The sequence below is a fragment of the Homo sapiens genome, chromosome 2, assembly GCF_000001405.40.
Source record: "Homo sapiens chromosome 2, GRCh38.p14 Primary Assembly".
NCBI lineage: Eukaryota > Metazoa > Chordata > Mammalia > Primates > Hominidae > Homo > Homo sapiens.
Window position 1 is genome coordinate 184,431,168 of NC_000002.12, and position 13,214 is coordinate 184,444,381.

General features: G+C 32.0%; 1 long non-coding RNA gene across 1 annotated transcript in view; it reads left to right on the top strand.

The window, feature by feature from the left end:
* The window catches only part of LOC102724340 (uncharacterized), a 246,221-nt gene extending 240,898 nt beyond the window's left edge, over positions 1 to 5,323 (top strand). The window contains exons 4-5 of the long non-coding RNA XR_001739819.1: positions 2,148 to 2,337; positions 4,634 to 5,323. This is a non-coding gene — a long non-coding RNA (uncharacterized LOC102724340). The remainder of the gene's footprint in view (positions 1 to 2,147; positions 2,338 to 4,633) is intronic.
* The last annotated feature ends 7,891 nt before the right edge of the window (positions 5,324 to 13,214 follow it).

The following is a 13,214-nucleotide window of genomic DNA, read 5'->3' on the forward strand; positions in this document are numbered from 1 at the left end:
GAGAGTGGAATTCTGGGTGATGTCACAGAGCTAGCTGGGCTCAGATCTTGTAGTCTTTTGCACACCACTGAAAGGCTTTGGTGTTGACCTTAGTGAGGTGAAAAGCCATTGGAGGGTTTTGCACAGTTGGCATCCAGTTGGCATTAAAGACATAAAGTTACTTGAATAACCCGAAAATGAGGGTATAGCATAGCAAAGAGGTCTGAGGTCTGGGGCACTCCAACTTTTAGAAGTCAGAGGGTGAAGTTCCTACCAAAGGAGACTAAGAAAGAGAAGGAATGATGTGAGAGAAACAGCAAAAGACACAGATATGCCAAAATACAACCAAGAAAAGTGCTTCAGGGAGGAAATAGTTGAAATGTTTCCAAATATTTTGATGGTTCAACTAAGAAGTCTGCAAATAGAGAATGTAATGTGGCAAGGTAGAAGTGGAGTGGGTGGCTTTCCCAAGAACCGTTTGAATGGAGTGTGAAAATAAGACCCTTAAAATGAGGTGGTATGTGTGTAGAGGTTGAAGAGCATGTAGAAGAGGAATCAGAATGGCTGAATAGTGGTTTGGGGGCAGTGTGGTTTGTTCTAAAGGGAAGCAGAGGAATGAGGAGATAGTGAAGGGAAATGTGGCTTCAAAGGAAGGATCTTTTTAAGAAAGAAACAATCACTGCTGTTTGTATTTAAATGTTTCCATAGCTCCAATAATTATCAAAGAGAAAGAGAGAAAAAATGGTGATACAAGAAATAGAAGAGACAATTGTTGGATCAATATTCTTAAGAGGGCATTAAGGGATGGGAGCTAATGTACAAGTAGAAGTTTGCTTTATGTAATAACAAAGGCAGTTCATCCACAGTGTATGCTTAGGGGTCCCTAGAGAGAAAAAAAAATGGGCTGATTCAAAATACAAACAGTTAAGGAGGGTTTCTTTATATGAGTGAAAGTATAGGGAAATGATATTTTTTAAATGCCTAAGCTGTTACCAATCCTGAAGCCAAAGTGACAAAAAGAAGAAGGGGAAGACAGGGAATGCTGTCAAGACAGCTGCCTAACAGAGAGGTGATCTATCCATCAATAGGTAAATCATAGTGAAGACACACATGGGTTATTTTGATGCTTTATAAGCTGATGACTTTGCTCTATATAGTTTTCTCAACCTTGTCTATGCATTAGAATCACCAGGTACAGGGGGGTGGAAACTCTAAAATCATTCACTCCTTGGATACTGCAATAAGAGATTCTGATTTAAGTTATCTGGGTCTTGCCTGGACATAGAATATGTATTTCCAAACGTTCACAACATTTAGTTTGTAAACATCTAAAAATGTTTTGACCTGGAATCATCTGTAATATTTTATTCAAAACACAAGTTGTATATTAACTAATGGGTATGGTTTGATTTAATATTTGTAAGCTATGGGAAAATATGTGTAATATCTATGTATATCTGTATCACATTTATATGTGATACATAGGTTTATACGGATGGAATGGTGATAAATGGTAAAAGCAAAGAGTTTTGGATTTCATCCTATTTTTTAGTCACTAAAATTAATGTACTATTTTGTAGGCTGAAAGAAAATCTTTAATAACATATAAATTAGGTATATCAGATTAAATTAGAAAGGAAATGAAACGATTGGCCTATAAAACCATCATTGTTTGCTGTCTTTTTTTTTGACTCTTTTTTGGAAAATATGGAATAGCTTATTCAATAGCTGTCAACCTGTTCAATAGTGTAACAAATCATTTCATAATCGTTGACCTTTCTTCATCTTAAGTGCAATTATTTATTTATTTATTTTATTATACTTTAAGTTCTGGGATACACGTGCAGAACATGCAGGTTTGTTACATAGGTATACATATGCCATGGTGGTTTGCTGCACCCATCAACCCGTCATCTACATTAGGTATTTCTGCTAATGCTATCCCTCCCCTATCTCCTCCCCACCTCCCCCGCGCCACCCCCGCTGACAGGCCCCAGTGTGTGATGTTCCCCTCCCTGTGTCTATGTGTTCTCATTGTTCAACTCCCACTTATGAGTGAGAGCATAAGGTGTTTGGTTTCCTGTTCCTGTGTTATTTTGTTTTTCCTTCGCATTACTATTTATACTTTTAGCAGTATTCATTTTGCTTTTTGATTTTTTAAAATTAAGATAGGATCTCGCTGATGCCCTGGATACTGCCACAAGGGATTCGCGTGGGCTGGAGTGCAGTAGCACCATCACAGCTCACTGCAGCTGCAGGATCACAGTTCATTGCCCCTTCAACTTCCTGGCCTCAAGCCATCCTTCTGCCTTGGCCTCCTGAGTAGCTTGGACTACTGGTGCTAGCCACCATGCCCAGGTAATCTTTTCTTAAAAAAAGTTTGTAGTAGAGATGAGGTCTCACTATGTTGTCCAGGCTGGTCTAGGACTCTTGGGCTCAAGCGATCCCCTGGCCTCGGCCTCCCAAAATGCTGGAATTACAGGCCTGAAACACTGCGCCTTGCTCCTTTTGCTTGTTTTAAATAAAAATTACTTTAGCCTTGCAGCCTACATTTGATTCAGCTTCTCATTTTATTTCTACTTGGTATTTCAATCTCATGTTTAATATTTTTTTCAAAGTACATTTCATCAAGTTTTATTGAATTTTAATAAAATAGAAATTAGATTAATTGCATAATCTTATTCTGGTTTTAGTTATTACATATTTTTCTCTCCAACGAGTATTACTTTCCTTATTTTGTGTATTGCAAGTTTGTACAGCTACATTTTGTGAATGTGAATGTGCTTATATTTGCGAATGTGTTTGGTTACTTATATTTGAGTCCTAGCTAATAGCGTCCTCAAAATTGTGTGAATTCACCTTGTTGCTGCTCACTATCCAACTTCTTGTTTCTATGTGTCTCTTCTGAGAACTTAAACCAAAGATCAGCTTGTGAAACATTTCTACTTCTAGCTCAGCAATTACTAACCTATGAAGAATTCCACAACTATGGTGATCCCAGCATACAAAGTTCCTTTATGCCATTTCTTACTGATAACTGGTGTAGTTGGCCTGTGAAGGACCAACTTTCTGAGATGATTTTGTTTGGTCCAGTTTCCATGTCAATGTCATAGTATGTACTGATCTCCTTGCTACAGCTGATCTCTTTGATTTTTTTTTTCTTATTTTAGCCATTGCCTTTATACTAGCATTTATACTTTACAAATTGAACACATGCAAGTGCTGCTAACCGCCTATGATAAAATTAAGTGGAAGTCCTGAAGGTACAGGGTGTCAGACAGGGTTTTTTGACTATGTTTTCTATCATTTTTAATGCTTTTCGCTATTTTGTTGCTGTATCCTTAATTTGCCTATTTTGAGTCTTCTACTGACAATGGTAATTGTAAGAATCCCACACTCATTGCTTCAAACTGAAGGTCGAGATCTACAAGATCTTTTACACTTAATTCCTATCAAGGACAAGCTCTTATCACCTAACAACTACCTACTTACTTAGCTGTTGTAAAACACCTCTTACACACAAGTGCCATTGCTTTAAACTTCTACTCATTAGTGGTATAAAACAAAATCAATGTGGTTTCTTTAATCCTTACTTCCACCTCCAATCTTCACTCCTGAAAAAAATCTGGGATTCCCCAAAGGTCCTTATTGATCCCATGTTTCAGAAAGGAATAGAAGTTAATAAGTTAGACCCATTAACTTCTTCATTCTGGTTCAATGACAATGTATTTTCCATTATTTCCTTGAGGATTATTTATAATACAATTCCCTATTTTCCGAGAATTCCAAATTTGTTCAGAATTTTCTTCCGGTAGCTATTTTAATAAAACTCTGAGCTTAGAAACTGAGACAAACACTGTACTTATTTTATCATATAACTTGGAAATCTGGAGTTATTGTTACAAAATTAGGTGGTTATTTTAAAATTCAAAATATGTGTTGTATTTTGAGACACCATTGAGGCTTAAATCTGGGCTATATTCTTCGTTGAACATCTGCATTAGGTTGTTTATAACTGCTTGCTCTTTTCATAATTTGATTGCATATGAATTAACAACTCTATTCAGGTCACAACCAGATGTAAATAGTTTTATTTTGATTTAATCACACATCCTAAAATTGTGAAAGCGATTTAGACTTCCTTTTCATAATCAATACAACTTCCTCCTAATGCTGATATCAGCCAAGAAGTCTTGTCTATTTTAATACAATCATGTGAGATTGACTAATGGTAGGTTAATCCTGCCACCACAATTTGAGTCACTATGCGTAAGAAGCATTTTCTCATTCAGCCAGTGGACCAATACAGTTTTTATGGTTGGCAGATGACATTCAAGGTAATGTATTTAAGGACAAGGGCCACTTCCAGCTTGCAGTTTTACCATCCCTTGTGTCCACTTTTCCATTTGATTCTAACAGCAGGAAGAGTAAAGAGAATGTGGAAGGGGCACATTTACTTCTTAAAAGGCTTGGCCCAAAAAGTGAATATTGCAACAGCTCTGCTCAGATTCTACTGGTGAGAACAACTTTCTGGGATATGAATGGTCTTCCCTGGTTACAAAGCAAAGTGAAAATCAAAGCAAAATAATAATTCCTCTTTATATAAGTTATTAGATAATGGATGACAATAATAGCTTGAATTGTTTCTTTTTAGGAGGATGAAATTTAACCACATCAAAGAAACCTACAGCTCTGATACTCTCAGAAAAAATAAGACTCAACACAAAGAGAGTAAAAAGAGTTATTCTGTCAACGAAGGGTCTTGACCGAATAATGTATACATCAGATCTTTTCATCTTGCACTTCTTGGACACTGTGATTCAAAAGGGAGATTATTTGTGTCAGTAAAGAAGTATCCATAATGATAAAACACAAGTACTTCAAAGAACAACCTGTGCTTCTCAAAAGGAAAATAGTTTGGATCCATTTACTTTTCTCCTCTACTTCACATTCTAAATGACTGAGAAAATGTCTTCTCGTTTTCAATACAACCCATGGGAAATCATACTCAAATAAGTAGTAACTGAATGAACTAATCTGGAAAAGTGGTCCTCAATTTGTTTCTGTAATATCAGCTATCACAATACTGCCTTGATATTTCATACAATTCTGCAGAGTATAAAAAAGCAAAAGCCTCTAAAAGTTGGTACTAGAATGTACTACACGCTCAATATAGACCACAAAATGGATCAGACATGAAGCTTAGTATTGTCTGTGTGCACAGTGTTTAAATATTCCCTTGTTTTAAAAGTGCCAGTGTTTGTTAAGTAACTTAAAATATTTGCCACATGTAGCTTATTTTTTTTACTTTTTATTATATTTTTGTCATAGGTAAAAAAGTGAAAAGATTTATGACAGTCATTTTTTTAAAACTAAGTTAAGCTATATAAATTGTTGTGAAATAAAATACATTTTAATTATATACAATAAAGATCCTAATTTTAATTTGCAAGTATTTTCAAGATTACAAGTAACGTTATCAATTGTTTTACTTATAACAATATTCCTAGGGTGTCTACATTTAATAATTCTAAGTTTTTAAAACAATTTTAAACTATTTCATTTAACAGACAATACAAACTAACTAAGATAAATTGAGAAATATAAATATCCCTCACCTGTGTTTTTAAAATTAGAGACAACTTTTGTATCATTCCAGATATAATTTATACCTATATAAATGTGTTTATTTTAAATGTGCCATTTAAAAGAACTGGTTTATGCTTTGAAATGGCTGCATAATATTCTACTCTACCTAGATACCATTAAATATTGAATCAGCTCTCTATTGTGTGTTTTTTGCTGTTGTTACTGACAGATTTTGTAATTACAATGCAGATTAAAAACTTGTTTTAAAAAATGTGATTTTGCTCATAGACATATGTCTTTAGAATACATTCGTCATAGTACAATTGCTGAGACAAAGAGTTTACGCATTTGGAAATTTTATAAATATTATCACATTGCTTTCTATCAATATCATCTCACAAGTATAATGACAAGTGAAAGATACTAGGTATGAACATTTATGTAGTATTCAAAAGCAGATAAGTTTATTACCCTGTCAGAAGATAGCAAAATGATTAACTTTATGAAGGTTTCAAGCACTTAGTTTGAGGGAAGGCAGGATAGGCAGTTTCATGAGAAAGGTATGTCCCATCTCTTGATCAGGGTGAAGTTTAAATGGAGTTGTTTCCTTGATGATGCATCAAAGTCACCACTTGAAATTTGATTACTTTTTAATATATGCTATACTTCAAAATGTTTATTAACATGCAAATCATATAATGAATTCCATTAATTTAGTGAGAGAAATTTTTTTTATATGCTTCGAAGTCATTTGTTTTGTTGTTTGCGTTTACTCAGAACAGTGTGTCAATCTCCTTGACTGATATTTCTATTGTTTCTAGCAGGTCATTTAATAGTTTATAATGTTTATATTTTCAAAGTTTATTGGGGTGTAATTTATTTATAATACTGTACATATTTAAAGTTCAAAATAAGTTAAGCCTTAACATGTATATACAGCCATGAACACATAACCATAAAGTAGGTCCTAAATATATTCACCACTCACAAATGTTTCCTTGTGAACCTTTGTCATTCCACCCGCCCTTACTTCTTCCGCATAATCTCCATCTATAGCAACTACCAATCTATTTTCTGTTATTATAAATTAATGTGCATTTTCTGGAATTTTATATAAATGGAATCATATCATATGTACTTTGTTTTGTCTTGTTTTTTCAGTAAAATTATTTTGAGATTCATACATGTTGTTACATGTATCAATAGTTCATTACTTTTTATTGTTGAGTAGTATTTCATCATATGGATATGCCACAATGTGTTCACACCTTAACATAAATTTGTCAATGTAGTTTCCAGTCATTGGTTATTAAATATAAAGTTTCTTGAAAACTGATCTATAAGTATTGATATGGAATGTGATTTCTTTTCTCTTGGGTAAATTCCTGGAAGAAAATTGGTTCTATCAAATGGTGTTTGCATGTTTAACAGTTATAGCCAAACCATTTTCCAAAGTGGTTGTAATATTTTACATTCCTCACAGCAGTGTATGAGAAATCAAATTGTTCCAAAAGTTTGCTAAGACTTGTACATTTAGATGTATCACCAATTTTGGGTAAATTTTTGTACTAATTGTGAGTTGCAATTGAGGTTCACTTTTTTATATGGATACTCCTTTTTTTACACAATACATGTTGAAAGCATCACCTTGTATTAATTGAACTGCCTTTGCATCTTATTAAAATCAGTTTCAATATATGTGAGGTTCTATTTCTGAACTCTATTCTCTGTTACATTGATTTATGTGAACACTTTTTCACTGAAGCCACACTATTTTGAGAACTGTAGTCTTGAAATTGAGTATTGGTAATCCTCTAAATGTGTTTGTTTTTATAAAAATTGTTTTGGCTATTTAGATCACTTTGCCATTCAAATAAAATTTAAAATCTGCTTGTTGATAGCTACAGAAAAGTTACTGGCATTTTAACTAGGAATACATTAAACTTATAGATAAGATTGAGGAGAATTGCCATTTTATTCTTCCAATTAATGGCTATATTACATGATTCCATTTATTTAGAACTTTTGAATTTATTTCATCATTGCTTTGTATTTTTCCATGTATATTGAGTTAGAATTATACCTAAGAATCTCAGTTTTGGTGCCATTATGAATAATATTGTTTTTTAAAATTTCATATCTCAATTGTTTAATTTTGGTATATAGGCATATGATTGACTTGCATATTAATGTTATATAATAAAAAAGCTAACAGTTCTAGATTTTATATAGATTATTAGTTTTCTAAGTAAGAAATCATGTCATCTAGAGAGAGAAAGAGTTGCATAACTTCTGCTCCAATCTGTATGTCTTTTATTCCTTTTTCTTATATTATTGTACTGGTTAGATTTCCAGTAAAATGTACAATAACAGTGGTAAGAGTGGACATCATTTCATTGTATTATTCTCAACCTTAAGGAAAAGATATTCAGTCAGTAAACATTAAACACAATGTTAGCTATAGATGGTATTCATTTTGTTCTATTTAGATGTTCTTTTTCAAGTTAAGGCATTTATATCCCTAGATTGCTGATGGATTATTTTCTTTTCCCTTTTTCTAATTATCATGAATGGATGTTAAATTTTGTCAAAGTTTTTTTAAAATCACCTATTGAGATGATCATAAAGCTTCTATTCTCTAGTCTGTTAATATGGTGAATTACATTGTTCGGTTTTTGAAAGTTGCAAAATTCCTCCATTCCTGAAATGAACTCCACTTGGTTGCAATGTGTCCTCATTTTTATATGTATTGGATGTTCTTTAATAATACTTTCCTAAGAGCTGTTGCAGGATATTTGGTAGAATTCTCCAGTGAAAATATAAGGGTTCTCTTTTTTGGAATCTTTTGCATAGAACTCTAATTTATTAAATAGATATACGACTAGCCTTATCATCTATATCTTCTTGAATGCATTTTGATAGTATCTTTCAAGGAATCATTTGTTTATTTGTTGTAACTTGTAAACTTTATGGGCAAGAGTCCTGTGTCATAGTCCCTTATTACCGTTGAATGTTTCTGGGATCAGTAGTAATATTTCCTCTTTCATTCCTAGTATTGGCAATTTTTGAGTTAACTTAAAAATATTTTCTCAATGAATTAGCTTTTGATTTGATAAACTTTCTCTATTTTTTCAATATTATTGATTTCTGCTCTAATTATTATTTCTTTACTTCTACATCCTTTGTTTCTCCCTTGCTGCTTTTTCTTCTTTTTTCTTTCTGTTGCCCACGCTGGAGTGCAGTGGTGTGATCACGGCTCACTGTAGCCTCAACATCTCAGGGCTCAAGTGATACTCCAACCTCAGCCTCCTAAGTAGCTGGGACTATAGACATGCACCACCAAGCCGGACTAATTTTTGTATTTTTTTGTAGAGACGTGTTTCCCCATGTTGCCCAACTAGCCTAGAACTCCTGGGCTCAAATGATACGCCCATCTCATCCTCCCAAAGTGCTGGGACTACAGGCACGGGTCACTGTGCCTGGTATTATTTTTTTGCTTTATATAATAAAACTTTAAGTTATGATATTGAGACTTATTTCTTTTTTGATATAAATATTAAAACCTGCAAATGTCCTTGTAAGCTGTGCTTTACTTATAGCTTATAAATTTTAGTATATTTTAAATTTTATTAATTTTAAAATACGACTTTCAATTTTTCTTAAAACTTTACTGTTGACCTATGGGTTATTTAGATGTATATTGTATCATATCCAAATATATTTTGGAATTTTTCTTATGTCTCTAGTTATTAATTTCAGATTTAACTTTGCTATATGATCCAATAACATACTCTGTATGGTTTCTATTCTTTTAAATTTCTTAAGCTTTCCATACGGGCTTGGTTATACTTTATCTTCATGTTTACTTGAAAGAAATGTACGTTTGTGGAGAGTACCATAAATGTCACTTAAGTCAATTAAGGGCATTATCTTTGATTCCATTTATATGCAGATCAAATGAGAGCAATTGAATATGTTATGAAAAATATTAGTTTGAGAATGATCTATAAGGGATGGGAATTTACCGGAAGGCACCATGAGGAAATTTTTGTGGGTGATGAAATGTTCTGTATTATAAATTGGATGTTTTTTACATGGGTCTATATATTTTCTGAACTTATCAAATTTTACAGTTAAGAGCTGTACATTTTACTATTTCACAAATTTTGGCCAATTTTTTTTTTAATTAAAAGAGACAAGGGCAGGAATTTTCTCAGACCACTTAAGGGGAATATATAGTCTGCATAATTTTGGAAAGAATAGTGACTATTTTTAACCTCTGTGTACTTCTATATCTGTGGTAACATAAATCTAATGATTAATAAATTTCAATGTGACACTCTTCAGTTATGAAACCAAAAGTACAAATTTCCAATTTCAAGTTGACAATCTTCTTCTGTAAAAATTTGATTACCAGAAACATATTGTAGCATTGTCAAAACTCTATCATTTCAATAGAGTTTCAATTGAATTATCAATATCCTCCTTGCCACCATTAGATTATCAGAACCCAATAACTTAACTATACTAAATTAAAAGATATTCTATCATCATTTTTACCCTCAGAGATTTATTGATTTGTTTTCTTTCTGATTTTACACTGTGCCTACATATGATGAAATAGCAAGACAAATAAATAGGAATTACATGGTACTATTTATCCATCTCTATAGCTTGTACTCTATCATAAAAATGCATCTAGTTTACCCTTAATAACTTCCAACATTCAAAACTAAAATGTTATCTAATGTTACATTGTTTAGAGACTAATATTTATTAGGCATCTGCTATTTTGCTAACACTATCATAAGTACTTTTTGATTTCTCTAACTTTATCTTCACAACTTTATAAGAAGTTGCTATTATTCCATATTATAGATCATACAATTGTAACTCAGGCTTAACTCCTTTAGCCTTATGTATTAGATAATTTGAGGAACTGCTGTTCAAAGCTAATTTGGTAAGACAACATTGTCCATGTTTTTATTACACTGAAGTGCTATAAAATATTCCCCTTTTCATCTTTTTGCCAGTACATATTAGTAGTATTTTTAATATCTACATCTATCTAATAAACAAAGATGATTTCTTAATAACCATGTCTCCTTTAACAGCAACCTTCTTCACTCTTATATATATCTAAATACACATTTACATATATTACATTTTAAATAGTTCATTAGTACATAAAATACTCTTATGATTACTTGGCTAGATTTTATATTGCAGAAAGTCATGGTTTCATTGAGTGCATAATGACTTTCAAGTTATAATTTAAGGACTCCATAGATTCAGTGTTGCAGTTTAAAATTGCTTTCCTTCAAAGTAAATAGCCCCAGATCTTCAAATAATTCTATTAAGAGGATATCACAAGGCTACTTTTAAAAAGACCTCAAATGTTGTATTAATGTTTCAAACATAGTTAATGTGAATCCACAAAAATATGTAATTATTCACATTAACAAAATCCAAAAGCCACAAGTCCTGGGTAAATTTATCTGCTGTGTGTGTCTTCACTCTCATTATAAATTAAATTAATTTCTACTTGTTTTTCTGGGATGATATTTTAATTTTTTAGGATATAGCCATTTAACACATACAAGGTAAGTTCGTATACCAACTAAATACCGCAATCAATAAACTTTTGTTTTCATGTTTTATTTGATTTTTTGAAACAAGTAAATAGGTTTAATCTATCAACATATGAAATTTACTAAAAACTAAACAAATTAATTATTTCAATGTCTGACACAAAGTTTGTTATAATATTGGAAAGTTGGTTTAACCACTATATTCGAAAGTAACCTTAAATCATATACAACTGAAAATTTTAAGGACATGCCAGTTTTACTTTTTATTGTTTACTGAGCTGAGCACATGGTAAATACTTACCATTTGTTGAATTTATCACATTTCTTGTATTCAGAACATCACTTTCAAAGGCCTAAGCCATGCTCATTTGTTTAGCAGACTTAATTGTTTTATTGAGTTATTATTTATTTAAAAATTGTTTTTAAAGTACTTCACTCACCAAAATCACATTTTATTTCAAAAAAATTTTGAAGTTAAAAATGTGGCTGGTAAAATACTTCTATAGCATGTTCAACAAGTTGTCTTTATTTCCAGGCATTATTTTTAATAGCAAGGATCTCATATATTTGATAGAATTATGACATTTAATGACTTCTGAAGACTTTGCATCTAAGAATTGAAAGCACTCAATACCTGGAAAAGACAACTGACAAAAAGCTGGGTTAACTTGCTTGCTGCAAACAAAAAGAGTTTATAGTTCTCTGCACAAACAATATCTGCCTTGATAATCCACCAATATGTGGTGGCTCAAGACTAAATTTCATAAGATCCACTTTATTGTAAGTACTTAAAATGTTAGGCAAAGACCATTACATGTTAGGACCAAATTATGTAAAGTACAGTGGGAAGAAATACAATATTCGTGATGTCTTTGTCTACTTGTTTCTATGGTAAAATAGCCTCTAATGCATTTTTCCACTCTTCAGTTACTAAATTAAATATGCTCAGAGTAATAATTGTTTACATAGTGATAACAGAACATTAAGTATAATATATGGTAGCTATATCCTTAAAAAGTGTACATAACCTCAACAAATTAAATATGAATCAATTTTGTAAAATATGACCCTAAGTCTGTAGTTTTGATGTTTAATATGGGATAGTTTTCACTCACTGCAGGAATTATTCTTCTTTAAAAATACTTTTAAGCAGCAATTTCAGTTTTTGGGTGTAAATTGTTAATTTTGATCTGATTTTAGTTTTTCAAACCATACCTTAAGATTTAAATGATTTTGATATTTTATAGAATTTATGTGAATGAGATGTAGTACTCACTTTTGTATAAAATAAATGTATGTAAAATTGAAAAAATGTTAATAAACTAATTACATAAGTCAGTAAATAGTAACAATTTACAATAAGCAAATATGGTAAGTGCAAGTCAACCATACAACCAATAGCCTCAATAATATTTGCAGCATTGAGAAATCATACCCATTTCTCAGAATACATTAACATGGAATTGTGAAGTTAAATTAGATCTGGCAGTAATAAGAGAGGAGGTAAGGTCTACAAGTGGTGATGGTTGTGTTTTGTGTGTGTGTGTGTGTGTGTGTGTGTGTGTGCTAGGAGCAAGGATAAATATGAAGGGAGTGGGCAATAGTTGCCTTTACTATACACAAAATATGGAAGATAAGTAATGTTTTGTCTAATAGGCTGGCAGAGCTAGTTTTTCTTGAATTCAGTCTAATTTTTATTATGAATTTCTTTTTTATTTACTTGGAAAGTTTTCTTCCTTCCAACATAGGGATATAATTTCTTTCTTTACATTCTTGCTCCCTTCCCACACATCTTCAGGATATAGATTATTCTTAGGCCCTTTATAAATAGATTTAATCAACAAGGTAAACATTCACACAGCAATTATTGCAAATTAACCAGTTTGATGTTAATCATTTCTATTTGTGTTTTTCAAACTTGATTTCTTATGTCTTTAAAAGAGATAACTTTACTATCCTCATAAGATGCCAACTTTTTGAGTCATCAACATCGTTAAAAATAAAGGGGATCACCTTGAGCTTCAAAAATGCAAATCAACTGGAAAAACACCAGCT